Source organism: Homo sapiens, chromosome 11, assembly GCF_000001405.40.
Source record: "Homo sapiens chromosome 11, GRCh38.p14 Primary Assembly".
Classification (NCBI taxonomy): Eukaryota; Metazoa; Chordata; class Mammalia; order Primates; family Hominidae; genus Homo; species Homo sapiens.
In genome coordinates, this window is record NC_000011.10 from 86,549,698 (window position 1) to 86,570,024 (window position 20,327).

The window sequence follows — 20,327 nt, forward strand, 5'->3', positions numbered from 1 at the left end:
TGAGGGAGTCAAGAGGATGAGAGTGAAACTTGGAAGTGAGACTTCTGTGTAGTGATAGGAACTTCAAGAGGAAATTGGGGAAGAGAGGAGGATGGCAGATGTAGAACTCCCCTCCCAACCCTGTGAATGAGATGAGGGGGCTTGGGTGGTGGGGCTGAACAATTTGGCTTGCTGAAGGTTGAGTTGGAGATGGAGGTTCTGTTATCTTATTATGACCTCAACCTTCAAGAGTACTTCCAGGTTGGGATGGGCTGGAAAATACGGGATGCAGATTATCAACTCCCTAAAAGTCACAGAAGATCCAAGCTGTAAAGAATTTCAGGGAACACTCAGGTCAGCAGTTCTCAGCCCTGGCTGCCCATTAGAGTCCTCTGAAGAGCTTCTGAAAGCCAGAGATGCCTGGGCTCCACTTCAGGGATTCTGATTTACAGCTCTCCAGACACGTTTAGTGCACAGCCGGGACTGAGAATTGGTGCTCTAACTAGACCCTTTTAATTTTACAGGTGGGGAAATTTAGGTTTGGCTGCATAATATTACCATGGATCACTTAAAAATCTATTTCTAACTTGTTTATAGAATTTGGGTTACTAGATCATAAAATGTTAGAGCTAGAAGAGATCACGGAAGCCATGCAGCAGAACCCTACCACTGTTACTACAGACTAATGAGCTAAGTGACTTGCCTAAGGAGTTGTAGCCAGAAAGGGGATGATTGAGGGCAAGAACCCAGATCTCCTGACTCCTAATCCAGTGCTCTCCCTATAACAGCCAAGGACAAGGGACTAAAAGGGCCAGATGAGAGGTTAACCAGAACCGGCTGCAGACCTTGTACACAGTCTACTCAAGGACGCCTTTCCAGCAGCACAGCTGAAAGTTTCGCAGCAGAGTCTGGGTGAAATTGGAATGTCAAGCAGTCTTGGCCAAAGGAATCAGTGCTTTGGTGCCCTGAGATTGGGCAGAAGGCTGGTTTGATGATGCTAGTCCTTGCTTTCTGCTTGCCTCCCAATTTTGCTGGGAGTATGTGTGTGTGTGTTTGTGTGTATTCCCAACCAACGGACACCTGGGTTGGAACTGTGTTGTGATGTGCTCAAAAACCATGCCCTGGGTGTCAGGGATCTCTCCATTTACTGGGGCAAGGTTGTCTTTGTTTTCCAGAGTGGCTTTGATCAAAGTGTTGGCATTCATTGGTCTTGTGTACAGCTGGAAATGGGCTCCAGTGGGTATTTAGGAAGCAGAGGTGTGTAATTCATGTCCCAGGGGTCCCTCTGGGTGTGTGTGCACATGCATGTGCATGTGGGGGTTGCCGGTGGGCTGGTGGAGGTGGTTGAAGACAAGAAGGTTCCAATGCAAGAAAATGAAGCATACCAGACATATTGAGCGGGAAGTAGGAAACTCCAAGGAGGTAAATGTGAACCTTAACCATATCCTCTTATGGGTATGGGGTGAGAGGGAAGAAGAGATGAAAAAGTAATACCCCTCCTTTAAGCTTATGAGGAAGTTTACAATTGATAAAGCATGTTCACATGCGTTTAGCCCTTCTGACCCTCATAATGATGCCACAAGGTGGATAGTTCCTGTGATCCGAGCTTGGAGCTGTGGAGTAGCTCCAAGGCCACATGGTATTTAGATAAGGGGGCTGAACCACTACCTCTGACTCCAGCCCAAGTGCTCTGTCCAACATGATATAGTATGTTTCCCAAGTGTGAGAGTGTGTGTGTGCACCCATGTGTGTGCCCCTCCTGGGTGCAGACTTATCTGGCAAGGGAGTTTAAGTGAAGGCCAGAATGATGTGTCATGTTTACCAGGGCCAACCAGAAGCTGGACTATGAATTCAGGAACAACACAGGAAATTGGCTCTTGGTCAGCTGTGATGTCTTAGATAAGTCAGCTTTCGTTTTCATCTCAGTGAAATAATAAGCACCTCAAGGAGTTGTTATAGGGCTCAACAATAATGCACACAAAATAGCTAGACCAGGGCCCACCATGGGAAGTACATGCATTCAATAAATGGTAACTCTTAATATCCTGTATGTATGTTATTGGCCAGTGTGCAGAAGACCACCTATTTGCAGATAAGAAAGACAGCAGCTTGGCTCAGGGCCAAGGGCTGCTGGCTTTGTCCAAATACATCTTCAGGTACTTTCCACAGAGCTTCCGACTACATAAAACCAAGTCCCACTTCCCAGCCTCACCTTTCTAACTCATCACAGCCCGATCTCTGATTCCTCACACATACTTGCTAATGATTTGCTAGTTAAGTGCAAGTACAGATGATTTCAGGTCTGAATCAAACAACAGAGTGTGGCGGTACTTCAGAGGACTGGGGTGGCCTCAGCAGGTTTACAGTGTGTATTCTTGGGTGGGGTGACTGAGTAGATGACAACTCCTGGGGTCCTGGGTCAAACAGATCACAGCTGCTGAGCTCCTACTAGGGCCAGGCCCTTTACATTTGGAATCTCATTGAATCCTCCCAAGCAGCCATGTGAATAAGTGTTATTTCCATTTCACACATGAGGAGGCTGAGGAGGTGCTAAATTAATTGTCAAAAGTCATCAGGAGCTGAGATTCAAGGCCAAGCCTGCCTGGCTTCAAAGTCCGTGCTGCTTCTACTACCTACAACCCAGCCCTCTGACAAAGACGCTCCTTTGACCAAAACTTTAGTTGGGCTCCTGAGTCCCCTCTGACTAGATCAGACATTGGGCTTCCCTCCCTGTCCTTGTAGAATCCAGTGTGAGCAAGAATCCTGCTAAGTCGGTTTGGCCAAAATCCTCCACCTGCCTTTGGTAACTTGCCACCCTTGTTATCTCAGGACCCTGGTCCGCCTTCAGCAATAATCCCATCCTGTCAATTTAACCAGAAACCCCTTATTCTTGATGTTTCCTCCTAGTAATTATCCAAGCACCGCCCCCCATGCTGTTCCTGGGTTATAAATCCCCATTTGTCCTTACTGGAGTCAGAGTTGAGTCCAATCTCTCCCTCACTGCAAGACTCCTCTGCCATAGTTCAAAATCTATCGTAGTCCTCTGCCCTCCAGCTCCTGAATAAAGTCTGCCTTACCATCTTTAACAAGTGTCATAATGTTTTCTTTCAGACCTCCATCACCCATACGGGTTGGACCCTACACCAAAGCTGGGAAATGTTAGGTCTAAAGGCGGGTGCAGCACATTGCTTGGAGCCCAGGAGGATGAGGCATGTGAAGACAGGGCTGGTCAACAGGGATGTGGCCTGGGAGAGGGAGAGTATTCACTGACACTGGACCCCATATGGCTTCCTCCCCATGCCCTTCCTCTGGGTTGAGTTCTGTCTCGGCCTCCACCCAGCCTCACCTCTGGCTTTCACCTCTTCCAGCTCACACACTAGTGACTGACCTTCATGGGGCGTTCCCTCAAGCCAGGCTCATGGAGGCGCATGCAGAGGAGTGTCAAGTGAGAGGCAGGATGAGGCAAAGGAGGCTCCACCAGAGCCCAGAACCTTCTGTGGTGCCTATCTGCCCAGAGACACTCAGGTGCCCCTGAGATACTCTTTCCCCGGTAATGAGGTGATGCAGAGCCCCAGGCAGGTTGGAGTCTCAATTTTAGCATCAGCTGGATGTAATTAGCTTTGGTGGGGGGCCAGACACCATTACAGAGGACTTCATTGTTCTTGGGAACCTGGCAGGAGTGTTTATCGTTTCAGAAACTGAGAAGGTGCTGGCTCTCTCCCTCTTGGCCTCGGGACTGTCCTCCCTTCAGATGCTAATCCACAAAGTAAGTCCAAGCCAGGTCTCAGATGAAGTTCAGGGCTTGGGTGGAGCCCAAACTTTTATTTCCCCCAGGAGCAAGGCAGGTGTGGAATCCACACCTGGAAAGCAGCCAAATGGAAACCTAGAGCAACAACTCAGAATGTCACATGTCAGATAACTTAATTGGGTAATCATCTGAAGAAGGGTTTGTGCACAACGTATTCGAGAAGTCTGAACCAAGAGTGTGAGGGACTAATCCAAGAAGATGGTTAAGTCTGCCCAAGCCTGCCTCAAGCTCACTCAGCTGCAGGCCCCCGGACCCTGCTGGATCAATTCCTCCCAGGAGAGCTCTAGAAGTGGTATCTAGCAATCCCCACCTGAGACCCCTGGGAAGTCAAACATTCCTGGAGCTGCAACGACATCCCACCCAGAATGCCCACCAGCTGTGCACAGTCCGAAACTGTAAGAGGCAGTGTAGTGTGGTGGTTGCCTGTCTACACTTTGGTTCAGATTGGCTTGGGCCCTGGCTTTGCTGGTTATAAACTATGTGTGACTTTGGGTAAGTTATTTCCCTGTGCCTCAGTTTTCCCATTTGCAATTGAGATGATAATAGGGCCTACCTCCTAGGGAGGTTGTAATCATTAAATGCATTAAGATATGTAAATTCAGTCCTGGTGGTGTCCCTGGATTCTGGAGTGGGCTCTGGAGGCAAATTCTACTTTTACAAGCCTGTTGCATATGCAAGGTCCTAACCCTTCTACTAGTTCATCTGGAACCACTGAAGCCACTACAATCTAGTTTCCATAAGAGCATATGGAGTGAGGGCTTCCACACATCCTGGCAATAGGGGCCAGAGTGGGGTAGACTTGAATTTCCATTAGATCTCAGTCAGGGGAGATGGTTAATCTTGCCTTAGGGGGATAAAGGTCCTCTTCAGGAAAAAGCTGGTTCTGGAAAAGCAAAATTGTGTATGTTTGCATAATTTTGGGTTTGGTTTCCTTCTGAAGTTAAAAGTGTTAGTTTGTTACATGTTCAATGATTCAATTTTCTTGGTAAATATTTAAACATGCATATGTATAATATGATTCTACATCTATCAATCCTTTCTCCTTTCTACAATAGTTACTGAAGAGAAATAGACACTGACATTTATCTGGTTCCAATTTTATGCCAGGTACCTGATCCACACTTCTCATTTTACCCTCATAATGATTGAGTTAGGTAGTATTGTTACCTCAATTTCATAAATGTGGAAATTAAGGCAGAGAGAGGATAAGAAAATCACCCAGGGTCAAGGAGATTAAAATTCGGGGCTGATTGCAAAGAACCAATTCTTCACACTGAGTACACAGCATTACTTTCCCAACCGAGTGACAATTACTTGCCAAGTATTGGTCTAGAATACCCAACAGATCCATCATGTTTCTTGACCCTTCAAGAAGTTTGTATTCTAGTAGAAGACAGTTATATACAAACAACTAAAAACATGAAAAACAAAAAGAAAACTATGGGATAGACGAAGTATGTGTAATGGATTTTGAGGAGGCCAAGAAAGGGGTGGTCAGTTCAGCCTGAGGGGATGGGGGAGGGCTCCGTGGAGAAGTTGACCCTTGGGGTGGGCCTTGAAGGATAACCAGAATTGTGATGAGTGGAGACCAAGGAAAGGGGAGATGCAGGAGTTTGAGGCAGACAGGACCATACGTGCCAAGGCATGGAGAAGAACATCAGTGTACTTGGGCATGGAGAACAGATCAGAGTAGTTAGAACACTGAATTTTGGAGCTGGGCTGTGACAGGCTTAGATATCTCAGACTGTTGGGCTTGATTCTTTAAGCCCTAGGGAGCTGCTAAATGCCTCAGATGAAATGCCATGAGCTGATCTGTGCAGAAAGGATCATTTCTGAGAAGGAACAGGGGAAGTACATAGAGTCCTGCATCCTTCAGAAATGTACCATCAGCTCCTAATGTCTCTACCACTATTGGTTTTGGGAATGAGAATAAGAGAACAGGAGTCTCCTTCCTGTTGCAAGAAGCATGTTGAAGACCAGAACTGTTATGGAGCCCTGGCATAGTGAGCCTCTATAGGTTTGCAAAAGCTTAGCTGTTCTGAGTGATGAGGATGTGTCTGCTGCAACAGCCAGACACACCACCATCAGGATGAGGTTTGATGTGCTATCCTTTGCCAACGGTAACAGTGGGATCCGGAAAGAAACAGGACTGGCATTGGGAACACACTGTGACCATCTTGTAATATTCAACCGAAATGCTGGCTACAAAACTAGAAGATTGTTTTTCCAAATTAAAAAAAGCTGTTTTGAATCCATGATTACATGTTCCCCATAAAACGCGTGATTTACAAACACTAACTTATAAATTCTACATAAATGTAAATTACATATCTGTGCACAGTATGTTGCATATTTACATATTTGAACGTAGACTAGAACAATGTTCCATTACATATACCAGGTAGCTCTTTTAACATTAGTGCTAGAACTATGTATTTATAATTATAAGGCACCTTGCACCAAGGACTCTACCATTTTTTCTTTTTTTTAAAACATATATTCTGAAGTCATTTTGAAAAAAAACCTGATTGCTTTAGAAAACTCCTCAAAATTCTTTGGCTCTGAGAGAAAATGGAGTGCCAAAGTTTTGTCTAATAAAATGACATTTAAAGTGGAATCTGAGTCAAGCCCAAAGGAAGATATGCTGGTTTTTCAAACATCAAAAGAATTCAGTCTTTGGTATCCAACACTCCATTATTCATTGGCCTGAATTGGCAGGAGAGCTGTTGGTACTTTGGAGGTGACCAGAGGGGGTGAGAGAAGTGACAGGTAGATAATGAGAGAAATACAACCTGAACTCTCTCTCAGGCCAACTCTGAGCATGCTGGGCATTTATTATTTGGAGGTGAAGAAGAGTCAATAAACCCTTGCTAGCTACTCTTTTCACTCATTTCTCTGCTTACGGGGTCATTTTTCTGAGCAAGTGCTTGAAATCAAATGTCTTTTTGTTGGACCACTGACCCAATCAGAGTTAGCCTCCAGAGTCCCAATATGCATGAAGGGCGGAAAGAATTTATTCCCCTCTATGAGGCAGCCCCTCCCAGAGCCCTCACTCCACGGGGGCTCACCGGGGCCTGCGGAAAGTCAGGCCATAGTGCTGACAGGCCAGCCCCACGGTAGGCGTGTACACGATTGGCATGAACTTCTCCACGTCCGAAGTCAGCACTCGGTAGAAGAGCTTCTCGTTCCGGTCTTGGAGTGTCATGAGAATGATGTACCTTGTAAAAGGAGAGAAAAAGCAAGCTGACATGTGGTAGCAGCAGGCCCTGATGCCTCTGTGGTGTGGTGCAAAGACCCAAGGCTCCTGTTCCTGCTCAGCCCGGAACATTCATGGGCAAGCCATCTGCCCTGAGCATGAGCTTCAACAGCTATGAAATGTGAAGATGACCTGCTTGTGGTGCTTATTATTATACATGGTGTAGATACTGTTCTAAATATTTTACATTAACTCCTTTAAAACTTCCAATGGCTTGTGAAGTAGGGATTATAATTCTTGCTATTTTAGAGGCAAGGAGACTCATGTAGAGAGAAATTGACTCACCCCAATTCTCATGGCGTGTGGGAATTTGAATCTAAGCAGTCTGACTCTGGAATCTGTGCTCTCAACCACTGTTCAAGATGCTTATGATATTATGTGAACATTAATGAATGACAATAGCATAATAATATTCTGGAGGTGGGGTAGGGTCAAGGAAAATTCTGGGCATATAAGCACTCTAGGACTGGCCTCTCCTACCACACTGGACTGGTTCCTGTCACGAGTTGTGATTTCCAAAAATAATCTCTCTTTTACCTAATCCCTGAGACCTGAAATCACTAAGCCAGGGAAAGAGGCTTCCATTCAGACTCCTAAGAATGCAAAAACCTCTGTGAGAGAAAACCTAGGGGTTGAAATTCACAATTAAGTGTGACTGCTAATATCACAACCTTTCTGGATAATAATCTTGGGGAGAATACCAAGGTACTTGATGCTCTGGCATGAGGTGGGATGGGAGAAATTTTCTAACAGGGGTAAAAAAGTCTGTGGTCTGGTGAAATGATCTCTGGGCATGACATCAGGATCCTATGTTTGAATCCCAGCTCTGCTGTTTATTAGCTGTGTGAACTTGGGAAAGTCTTGTGTGACTTCTTGGGTCTCAGCCTCTTCCTCTGTACCAAAGGAATTACTCCTTTGGTGGAAAACTAAAAACTGTGCTCTGGAAGGTGTTTTTAGCAAGAGAGGACTGATACTCAGGAAGAGCAAGGATCTCAGCCCATTGCCAGTGTGGGATTCTCTTACCCAGTGGCCATTTGTGCACATCTTTTCTCAATTCTACATTCAGTTATGTCAAACTGGTAACCTGAAATCAGCCATCGTACAAGTATTTACACTATGGAATCCGGCAGATTCCATAATTTCCTATCCCGCCCCTCACCCAGCACAGATAACCAGTTATTAAAGATTTACCAGCACACCACTGCCCTTACCCAAAAGAAGATGGCGAGTTTTCTTAGCGTGTCCCCAAGCACCTGTAAAATGAGGGACTCCTGGAAATAAGCGGGTCAAGGTGGTCAAGCAGCATCAGGGGCAAGCCCTCTAGAGCTCCCAGTAATGGGCACACTCTTCTGTCCCTGAGCCTGGAATGTTTCCCCAGGCCTATGAGTGAGGCCCATCTACCTGGAAATAACTGGGGAGAGAAGGATTTTTGAATTTAACTTTTAGAGCTTAATATCTGTAGGAAAGAGGATTTCACTTTGGACTTGATTTCTTCTTTATAAATTTAACAAAAGGAGAAGGTTCAGATTGTTCAAACTTAGGGTGTGTCTCATCCTGTTAGTTGATTTCATTGTGTAATTTCTGGCTTGCTCTTCAGAGTGACTTAGCTAGACCCAATCAGAGTGAGATAAAAAAGAGGGAGAGGATATTTGGCCTGACTACAGTATGGCCTTGGAGTTAATGTGACTAACATCCTTCGAGTTTAGAGCTTTGGGAGTAGGGGTGGAGGTATGAGCAGAGGCTTCTGTGCTCATCACCACTCAGAAGCAATGGATGGTATGAGGGAAACAGAGGAATATGAGTGCAGGGTGACCCTGGCATGCTGCTGAGCTCTGCTCCTAGGGGGACAGCCACACCCTCAGGGACCCGAAGTCTTGGCCAGTTTGTTCTATAGATAGAACTGGCCAAGTTCTATAGTTTGTTTGTTCTAAGAGGGGGATTCCTTATCTTCTTCCTACATTTCTGCTAGAGCCAATAACAAGGTGACATATTTACTTGACAAACACTGACATACGGCCTACTATGTGCCAGGCACTGTTCTCAGCACATCACAAATACTAAGGCATTTAATCCTCATAACAACCCTATGAGTTTTCCCTATGGTACTCATCGTACCAATGGGAAAAGACCCATAGAGGCTAAGTAACTTTTGCCATTAAGAGGTAGAATATAGATTTGAACTCAGTCTAGTACTAGAGTCTGGTCTTGTAGCCACTGGTCCCTGCTGCATCTTAGCTGTGGCATAGCAGAGAAATGAAAAGCATAGACTCTGGAGCCAGGTCTCTGTGTTCAAATTCTAGCCACGCCCATTTATAGCCATTCAACCTGGGAAGTGACTACCTTTAGTAAAGCTGATAAAGTTGACCCTGTGATTCCCCATTTTCTCTTTATGTCTGGATCCCCATTGGAGGAGAACTCACAGAGGAGGCAGGGTTATTAACTGTTGCCCATAGCCTCCAACAAATGACATCTAGGTCCATCCTAAGGTGTCCCCTGTCCATTTCCCTCTCCCCCACCACGTCCCCCTAATTCCAGGAACCCAAGCCACGTACTACTTCCTTAACAGGCCTGTCTCTACCTCTTTGCTCCAGTTCGTCCCTCTCAGTGAAATGTTCTCCCTGAACCCCATTGCTGTCTGCTGAAATCTTATCAGTGCTTCTTATGCTGACTCAGCTTCTACCACTTCCCAGAGGCCCTTCCAGATTCCACTAGTTGGAATGCAGTTTCCCTTCCCATTTCCCCCAGGACATGTCAGCTGTGTCTCAGTCATAACAAGCCTTGTCTCTCAGGGAGACCATGAATCCTTTAGAAGGTAGGGCTGAGTCTGGGATCTCTTTGGGCTCTCAGCCTTTTTTAGCTGGAGAGTTTCCAGAAAACCCTCTGTGAAGCACAGGAAACAGACAGCTCAGCCCAAGGACCAGACAGAGAGAACAGACACTAGGTACTGACTTGTCCAGGTCACTCTGCTGCCGCTCGTAATATCTCATGATTCGGAGGAGCTGGACGTCCTGGCTCAGAAAGCAGGGCGGGATTAGGCCGTGGATTCCAAGCTGCAGCCTTTCTTCAAGGGTAAAGGCCATCCCCTGGGAAAAACAGGAAAAGAACACCCACACATAAGTGCATACTCAGGAGACAAAGGAACAGAAGGGGTCCCACCCACAGATAGGTAAAAGTCAGTGTGACTCAGTAGAAAGGGCCCTCAACTCAAATTCCACCTCTGCTATTAAAGTAGGAGGGTCATCTTGTGCCAGTTACTTTGATGCTTCTGAACTTCAGCTTCCTCATTGGAAAAAATGGGGAAACTATCTGTATCATCAGCATTTTTCTTTTTCTTAATATATATGTTTTATTTTATTTTTTAGAACAGTGATATGGTTTGTCTCTGTGTCCCCACCCAAATCTCATCTTGAATTGTAATCCAAATCCATAGTCCCCATGTGTTGAGGGAGGGCCCTGGTGGGACGTGATTGGATCACAGGGGCAGTTTTCCCCATGCTATTCTTGTGATAGTGAGTGAGTTCTCATGAGATCTGGTTGTTTGATAAGTGTCTGGTGCTTCCTCCTTTTCTCTCTGTCCTGCTGCCATGTAAGATGTGCCTGCTTCCCCTTCACCTTCTACTATGATTGTAAGTTTCCTGAGGCCTCCCCAGACATGTGGAACTATGAGTCAATTAAGCTTCTTTCATTTATAAATTACCTAGTCTCAGGTAGTATCTTTATAGCAGTGTGAAAACGGACTAATACAAACAGTATTTACAGAAAAACTGAGAAGACAGTAGAGTTCCCATATACCCCCTCAGCCAGTGTCCCGATTATTAACATTTGACATTAGTATTATACGTTCATTAGAGTCAATGAACCAGTAATGATCCATTATTATTAACTAAAGCCTTTAGTTTATTCAGATTTTTTAAAGTTTTTATCTAACTGTATATAGATAGATAAATATATGTATATAATGATATGTGTGTGTGTGTGTGTGTGTATGTGTGTGTGTGTGTGTGTGTGTATATATATATATATATATATATATTTCCAGGACCCATCCAGGATCTTGTATTAAGTTTAGTCATCATGTCTCCTTAGGCTCCTCTTGGCTTTGACAGTTTCCCAGATGTCCCTTGTTTTTGACAGCCTTGACAGTTTGGAGGAGCCCTGGTCAGGTATTTTGCACATACCCCTCTACTGGAACTTGTCTGATGTTTTTCTCATGATTGGATTTTGGTTATGGGTTTTTGGAAGGAAGATCACAGAAGTAGAGTGCCATTTTCATCACATCAGACCAGGGGTACATATAATAAATGTGATTATCACTGTTGATACGGACCTTGATCAGTGGCCAAAAGTCATGCTTGTCAGGTTTCTCCACTGTAAAGTTACTCCTAGCCTTGGCCATTGGGAGTGTTTTCAGCTGGCTCTTGGATTTCTTTGACATACTACCCATAATGTAGCAGTAGTGGGTTGGTTGTTTTTTTGTTTTTGTTTTTGTTTTGCAATTCCTTACTTTCTGGCACTACAAGATGCTCCAGGTTCATCTTGTACATTGCCAGCCGTGGTCCTAGACTAAGCCATTTCTCCAAGGATCCCCAATTCCTTTTTCAGAGCATGGTATTAGAAGGCAAGATTTGGGCACTATTTACTACTTGTGTCCCTTGCTTATTTCTAGTCCCTGTCAGTTGACAGAGCAAGGAAATATACATGTGTATATTAAGACTGGAGTATAACCACATATCTATAAATTTTTCTGTATTTAACCATCAGAACCTATATTAAGCTGAACATAAGTTCATACTAATGTCTCCAATGTGAATTCATTACCACATGGATCATTTTAGCCCCATCACCTTGCTAAACTGTGAATTCCCACTCCAACAATAAAAAGCTTGGCTTTGACCATCTCCCATTTATGTACTTAATTGCTTAATTTCAGTATACACATATAGCAGTTTCAAAATGGTTAACCTGTACCACTGTGGGAAACAACTTTATAAATTAGAGTACAGTGGTTATGTGCAGTTCCTTTTGCCTTTAGTCTAATAAACTCCACTCATTTCCGAAGTTACTCAAGTCAAAACTTTTTCCCTCTACCCTCTTCACTGAGATTGTTACATACATCTGTAATACAATTAGATTCTCTTGTCATAGTCTGCATTCCTTCCTGGAATCCCCCAACCTATTAAATAATTTTTTAAAAATCTGGACACATTAAGGTTCCTTCTTTATGCTGTAAAGTTCTATGGGTTTTGACAAATGCATGTCATGCATCTACCATGACAGTATCATACAAAATAGTTTCACTGCACTAAAAATTCCATGGGCTTTACTTGTTCATCTCTCTTTCCTTCCCCAAACCTCTGGCGACCACTGACCTTCTTTACTGACTCTACATTTTCATCTTTTCTAGAATGTCATACAATTGGAAGCATAAAGTATGTAGCTTTTTCAGACTGGCTTCTTTTACTTAGAAATACGCACCTAGAGTTCATTCATGTATATTTATCATTGAATAACATTCCACTGTACATTTATACCATAGTTTGTTTCTCCACTTATTGAAGAAAGCTTGGTTGCTTCCAGCTTTTGATGATTATAAATAAAGTTGCTGTAAATATTCCTGTGCAGGTTTTTGTGAGAACATAAGTTTTTTAATCAGTTGGATAATATGTTGGAGTGCAACTGCTGGATCATATGGTAAAACTGTGCTTAGCTTTGTAAGAAGCTGCCAAACTTTTCTAAAGTGGCTGTACCATTTTGCATCCCTGCTAGAAGTGAATGAGAATTTCTGTTGCTCTACATCCTCTCCAGCAACTGGTATTGTCAGTTTTTTGGATTTTAGTTGTTCTAGTAGATGTACAGTGATATGTCATTATTGCTTTAATTAGCAATCCTCTATTGACATATAATGTTGAGTATCTTTTCTTTTTTTCCCTTAAATTTCAGCCTTTATTTTAGATACAGGGGTACATGCGCAGGTTTGTTACACAGGAATATTGTATGATGCTGAGGTTTAGGGCAGAGATCCCATTACCCAGGTAGTGTGCATAGTACCTGATATGTATGTTTTCAACCTCCAGTATCCTCCTTCCTCCCCCATCTAGTAGTCTGCAGTGTCTATTGTTCCCATGTTTAAGTCCATGTGTGCTCAATATTTAGCTCCCACTTATAAGCGATAACATGTGGTATTTGGATTTCTGTTCCTGCATTAATTCACTAAGGATTATCCTCCAATTGCATTCGTGTTGCTGCAAAAAACATGACTTCATTCTTTTTTAAGGCTGCATAGTATTCCATGGTATATATGTACCACATTTTCTTTATCCACTCTATCATTGATGGGCACCTGAGTTGATCCCATGTTTTTGCTATTGTGAATAGCACAGTGATGAACATACAAGTGCATGTGTCTTTTTGGTAGAATGATTTATTTTCCTTTGGGCATATACTCAGTAATGGGATTGCTGGGTCCAGTGGTAGCTCTGTTTTAACTTTGAGAACTCTCTGGGCTGCTTTCCGTAGTGGCTGGACTAATTTACATTACATTTACATTTACAGTGTATAAGCTTTCTCTTTTCTCATCAGCCTCTCCAGTATCTGTTGTTTATTGACTTTTTGATAATAGCCATTCTGACTGGTGTGAGATGGTATCTCATTGTGATTTTAATTTGCATTTCTCTGATAATCAGTGATGTTGAGCATTTTTTCATGTTTGTTGGACACTTATATGTCTTCTTGTTTCTTTTTGTTGCTATTACTTTTGGGGACTTAGTCAAACATTCTTCGCCAAAGTTGATGTTGAAAAGAGTATTTCTTATGTTGTCTTTGAGGATTTTTTTATAGTTTGATGTCTTATATTTAAATCTTAGATGCACTGAGTTAATTTTTATATATGGTAAAACGAAGAGGTCCAGTTTTAATCTTTTGCATATGGCTAGCCAGTTATCCCAGCACCATTTATTGAATAGAGATCCCTTTCCCCATTACTTGTCTTTGTCAACCTTGTTGATGATCAGATGGTTATAGGTGTGTGGCTTTATTTCTGAGTTTTCTCTTCTGTTCCATTGGTCTACAAGTCTGTTTTTGTATCAGTACCATGCTGTTTTGGTTACTGTAGCTTTAAGTATAGTTTGAAGTCAGGTAGTATGATGCTTCCAACTTTGTTGTTTTAGCTTAGGATTGCTTGGCTAGTTGGGCTCTTTTTTGCTTCCACATGGATTTTAGAATAGCTTTTCTAGTTCTGTGAAGAATGACCTTGGTAGCTTAATAGGAATAGCATTGAATTTGTACATTGCTTTGGGCAGTATGGCCATTTTTACAACATTGATTCTTCCAATCCATTAGCATGGAATGTTTTTCCATTTACTGGTATTGTCTCTGATTTCTTTCAGCAGGGTTTTGTAGTTCTCCTTGTAGAGATCTTGCTTTTCCTTGGTTAGCTGTATTCCTAGGTATTTCATATGTTTATTTTCTATCTGTATATCTTCTTTGGTAAAGTATCAGTTCAAATATTTTTCCCATTTAAGGTTTGTTTCTTTCATTATTGTTAAATTTTAAGTGTTCTCTGATCTACAGTTGTAATGCAATCACTATCAAAATTTTAATGGCCTTTCTTTTGCAGAAATAGAAAAGCCAGTTTTCAAATTCACATGGACTAGCAAGGGACCCCGAACAGCCAAAATCTTTTTTTTTAAAAAGGGACTTTGAAACTTACTACAAAGCTACAGGAAAAAAAAAAAAAACAGTGTGGGACTGGCATAAGAATAGACATATAGGTAAATGGAATAGAATAAAGAGTTCGTAAATAAACTCATACATCTATGGCAAATTGATTTTTGACAAGGATTCCAAGTCGATCCAATGGGGGAAAGAATAGTCTCTTCAAGAAATGGTGTGGGGACAACTAAATTTCTACATGCAAAGAATAAAATTGGACCCCTAACTCACATTATACACAAACATTAACTCAAAATGGATGAACAACCTAAATATAAGATCCAAAACCATAAAACAGAAGAAAACGGGTAAATCTTTCTGATCTTGGATTTAGCAATAGATTCTTAGCTATGACACCAAAAGGGCTAGCAACAAAAGAAAAATTAGGTAAACTGGACTTCATCAAAATAAAAAAAGTCTGTGCATCAAAGGATACTATCAAGGATGTGAAAAGACAATCTGTAGAATGGAATAAAATACTTGAAAATCACATATCTGATAATGGTTTAATATCCAGAATATACAAAGGACTCCTACAGCACAACAAAAAGAAATATGACCCAATTTAAAAAGAGCCAAAGGACTTGAATGGACATTTCTCTAAAGAAGATAAACCAATGGCCAATAGCACATGGAAAGACACTGAACATTATTAGTCAGTAGAGAAATGCAAATCAAAGCCACAATATGATACACTGTACCACTTTACATCCACTAGAATGGCTGAAATTAAAACACACACGTACACATACACACACACACACCCCCCCTAGGAAACAAGTGTTGATGAACATGTGGAGAAATGAAAACTCTGACTGGTACATTGCTGGTGAGAATGTAAAATATTACAGCCTGTATGGAAAGCGTAGTGGTCCTCAAAAAGCTGAACATAGAATTACCATATGACCCAGCAAGTCTGCTCCTAGGTATATACCCAAAGGAATTGAAAGCAGGGACTTGAACGAATGATTATATGTCAGTGTTCATTGCAGCATTATTTACCATAGCCAAAATGTGGAAATAACCCAGGTGTTCATCAACATATGAATGGATGAACAAAATGTATATACATGCAATGAAAATTTATTCAGCTATAAAAAGGAATGAAGTTCTGCTCTGTGCTACTTCATGGATGAACCTTGAAAACACTATGCTAAGTAAAATAAGCCAGACACAAAAGGACAACTCTAAATGGGTGAATTGTATGGTATGTAAATTATATTAAAAACTTTTTTAAATATTTCTTTGCATGTTTTAAATATAAGCCTTTTACTGGACATGTATTATGTAAATATTTTTCCTAGTCTGTGGCTTGTCTTTTCATTCTCTTGGCAGTGTCTTTCACAGACCAGCATTTTCTAGTTTGAATGCTGGGGAGAGAGATGGGGAATAAGATGTCATGGAATCTCTGACCTGGTCACAATCAAGCCCTGTAGAGACAATGTTTGCTGGAAGAAGTTGCAGGAACTGTTCTCATAAGAGACACTGTGAGAATGGGACACGTGCAGCCCCACCTTTATCCCAAGATGAGAAGGTGCAACACATGGTGAAAAACAGAGACTTTTTCTGTGTAGAACTCAGGGTGGCCCTGCTGGAGTGAGGGCTGCCCTGGCACTGGAGCTCCTGAACACACTCAGCTTTCTCATGGGAGGCCCTAGCAACACTGACAATAGTGATCCCCTGAGTGGCTCCGTGGACAGCAGACATCAAGAAGGAAGGGGCCAGAATCCCCATGGGGACTGTGCTGGCCTGCTAATGTAACCCCTGTTGAATTTAAGGCTGATCATAGCTGGGGCAACTCTGGTTAAGCCTTTTATCTATACTGAGTCCCAAATAATGCAAGTTTCCTCCAAAAAGTGAAGAAAACTGTGCAGGTGATAAACGAGACCTCGATTATGCTGTTGACAGGCAGCTTCCCCCAGATTTCCTTGGGGAAAGGAAACTCACAAAGGTAGGGAGCATCAGAGCTCCCTTCATTCCTCTGCCACCTCAAAATGATTTCATCCAAAATTATTACAACCCCTTTGATAGGGAATTACTAACCATAGGGAGATCCAAACCCATATATTGATTATCCTCACCTTAGAGGTATTGCTATCATCAGTTCTAAAGAAGAGACTTTAATGAATATCTAATCTTATTCTATACTTTCCTTACAGCCACATTGTGAGGAAGATTTTACAACCTTCCCTTTACAGATGAGAAGGCTAAGCAAGAGAGGTTACATAATGCTCCTGAAGTTCCACGGCTGTTACTTCACACTCTATTGCTTCTTAAACCAGGATGCATTTTATAATAAATAAGTATATTTGGTGTGATAATTTTTTTCCTGATGATTTTCTTTGACTAGAGGTAAGTGATAAAACCATTTGTATTCTTGCCACTATAGTACACATCCTCCCAGGACGTTGGTGAGACGGACCTCAGAAAATGTGGTGGGGTGTCAGGGGAGTTGTGAGAAAGGAGTGGATAAAAAAAGAAGAGTGGCCAGGCGCGATGGCTCATACCTGTAATCCCAGCACTTTGGGAGGCTGAGGCGGGTGGATCACCTGAAGTCGGGAGTTCAAGACCAGTCTGACCAACATGGAGAAACCCCATCTCTACTAAAAATACAAAATTAGTCAGGCATGGTGGTGCATGCCTGTAATACCAGCTACTCGGGAGGCTGAGGCAGGAAAATCGCATGAAACTGGGAGGCGGAGGTTGCAGTGAGCCAAGATCATGCCACTGCACTCCAGCCTGGGCAACAAGAGTGAAACTCTGTCAGAAAGAAAGAAAGAAAGAAAAGAAAGAAAGGAAGGAAGGAAGGAAGGAAGGAAGGAAGGAAGGGAGGAAAAGAGTGAATGAAAGTTAGACTCCTTGGCTACTCCCAATTTCCTCTTTATTTTGTAATTTGGGATCTGTAAAACTTTGAATACTGGGCTTCTTTTGTATTTTTACAAAGTAATAAGGACAACTTATCATAAAAGAGTGCCAGAGACTGGGCACTTTCACCAAAAGCCTTTAGGCAGGCGACTGTTCACTGCCTCGGTAAAGACTATGATCATCTTTCCTTGGCTCAGAGCACCTTAGGGAGGCCCAGGTATCTAATTATGACATCATCTTTGTTAATGATCACTGTGGCTTTTCAGAACAGTCCACTTCTCTCTACAAGGAGAAATGTTTTTCTTGGCTGACTGCCGCCACCTTCTTTTGTATTTGAGGAAAAGGGATGACTGTTTAGCAGCTGGTAATTTCAGGGATTACAAGATAATACTTCTTGAAGCTACTTTTCATCCTGAAGCTAATATTAAGGCAACCTCAGATTTACAAGTCTGCAAAGCAGAAATGAAGGCACTGTAGTTGCACCACGGCCTCCAACATAGGACAGGCACAAGACAGTTCACTAGGGCTTAAGGGGGAAGTGTGAGAACTTATATTTCTCTACAAAAGAAATAAACTTTGCTAATCGGCACTCAGATGCTTGTTCTGTGTATGTAAAAAAGTCATGGGGTATATGAGGGGTCTGAAGGTAAGAGTAGGGACTGTACAACATGTACAAGTCAGAGGAGTTGATGCTGGGGCCCTTATTCATTCTTACCACATTGAGAAGTTACAGTTTCCGTGTGTCTAGTAAATAGAGTTACAGATTATATTATCTGGTTTTAACAAAACTCTCAATATAAGACAGGCGGCTTTTGAAAAATGGCTGATTCTCACAGTCATATTTTAACCTAATACCCTTGTGGAATTCAGCGAGGACATGCTGGTAGGGACCTGACTATTGTTACTAGTTTTGAATGTCTCATCTGTTACAGGGCCACTGCTCTGACCTCTCCAAGTCAGGTGTAGTCCCCACCTGCTCTGGATTCTCCCAGGGAACCTTTGGATCTCCTCAAGATCTAACAACCAATGGGTTAATGTCTGGAATAGTAGGAGGCCTCAAGACCCTTCCCTAGCACTAAAGACCTGTGACCATTTCGACTGGTCAGTGCTTATGCCGAACCATTTTAAATCTTTTACCTATCACTCCTGACTTTACCTATTTCATCAGCTTTCCTGAATGATCATCTCTGGTTCAGCTACTGAACTCTATTTACCCATGGGCTCAGCCATGCCCAAGTTACCAGGATGAAATTTACTGGCATCAGAGGGAGGATATTTCAATAGCTCCCACCATCAAATGGCAGGGCGCAAAGGCAGCAAGCCCCTTAGATGGTGCTTCTGTCCCAGCCTTCTGCTCTTCAGAGGCCTGGGCTTCCCAGTGCCCATTCCTTATGTCTGAGTTTGTCCAGGGGTCAGTCTCCCAGTACTGCTTTGTGATCTGCCTAGTGCCTCTAGACCCAGAGCCCTACTGTGTACTTGACAATCTCTTCTCCTTCATTCAACAAACACCCATGAGTTCCTACTTTGGGCCAGGACTGTCATGTTAGGCACTGGGGATTGTTGAACAGAACAGGTCCTGGTCACTGTCCTCAAGTGTCTACTAGAGGAGACATGTGGGTTAACATACAATACCAATCCTGGGCCTCTGCCTTGGGCAAGCTGCTTCTCCCACTTATTAAATGAAGTGCTGCCCATTTCATGTGTTGTGGGATTAGATGAAATAATGCAGGTAACATGCTTAGCACAGATATTGGCACATAGGAAGGGTTCAGTGAACACCAGCTGTTCTCCTTATTACTATTAGTATTGTGTTCACGGGGCAGGGTGACATAAGAGAGCTCATGAGCAGATGCTGGAGAGGAGCCTTGAAGGACGGTCCAGAGCTAGTCTGGCAGAAGGGGCTGCAAGACAGTGGCTGAAGTGACATTACCACATCACAACGTAACTGCTTGTCCATGGGCTCAGGCACCACGCCGGCCTTTGCAGCCCTGTGTGTTCTTCCCACACATGCATTCTGGCTGTTGCGCTTTGACTCACACCAGCACCCCTGTTCCCCATTCTCTGACCCCTTCCTCCTCCCCTGCTTCCAATCCACAGTCGACTACCTGCAACCTCCAGGAGGCCTCCCTGCCTCCACCATTCCACACAGCTCTCCCCCTTCTCTCAGAGTCAGTGTCACACAGTTTAGCACATGCGATGTGTCTCCTATTTGATTTCTTGAGTTGTAACTACTAGATAATAAACTCAGGGTGGTGGGGAGGTAGAGAGTTTGAAGAAGCTAATGCAAGGTTATTGCACATAATATCATCATCCATAATAACAATGATGACCTTTTATTGGATACCCACTAGGTTGGGTCAGGCACTGAGACAGATACTTTACACTCATCGTGTCCTCTCATTCTCTGACTCCGGCAGGAAGGTATGATGATTATTATCCCCACTTTGTGGACTAGGAAACTGAGGTTAGAGTGGTAAGTAACTTGCCCAAGGTCACACAGCAAGCTGGTGGGAAAACCAGGAGTAGAACCCAGGCCTAAATATTTCCAAATTTCTGAGTCTTTCCTCTGAGCTAATCAACAGCTTCAAGACTTGAAAGATTTTAAAAGTTGTTGACTGAGTTGAGTTTTTTTGATTAGGGATGTGATTATTTTTACCTACAGAGCCAGGTATCTTAGACTTCAGCTACTGTTGAGCATTCCTCTGTATT

The 20,327-nt window shown here is 42.9% G+C and overlaps 1 protein-coding gene across 21 annotated transcripts in view, besides 1 other annotated feature; it reads right to left on the bottom strand.

The window, feature by feature from the left end:
- The window catches only part of ME3 (malic enzyme 3), a 237,687-nt gene that overhangs the window by 114,768 nt on the left and 102,592 nt on the right, over nt 1-20,327 (bottom strand). For all 21 annotated transcript variants that reach the window (NR_172888.1, NR_172889.1, NR_147828.2 and 18 more), the window contains 2 exons: nt 9,993-10,126; nt 6,856-7,005 (listed from right to left, as the gene is read on the bottom strand). Coding sequence is in view for 8 of the 21 variants with exons in the window: in NM_001395868.1 (NP_001382797.1) it covers nt 6,856-7,005; nt 9,993-10,126 (284 nt within the window). In the remaining 13 variants the exon portion in view is untranslated. The remainder of the gene's footprint in view (nt 1-6,855; nt 7,006-9,992; nt 10,127-20,327) is intronic.
- Nucleotides 9,504-10,005: an enhancer, noted in NCBI's record as "H3K27ac hESC enhancer chr11:86270243-86270744 (GRCh37/hg19 assembly coordinates)". NCBI's record gives its function as "activates a minimal SCP1, AML or CMV promoter by ChIP-STARR-seq in naive H9 embryonic stem cells {active_cell/tissue: H9 hESC(naive)}" and the evidence as "EXISTENCE:reporter gene assay evidence [ECO:0000049][PMID:30033119]".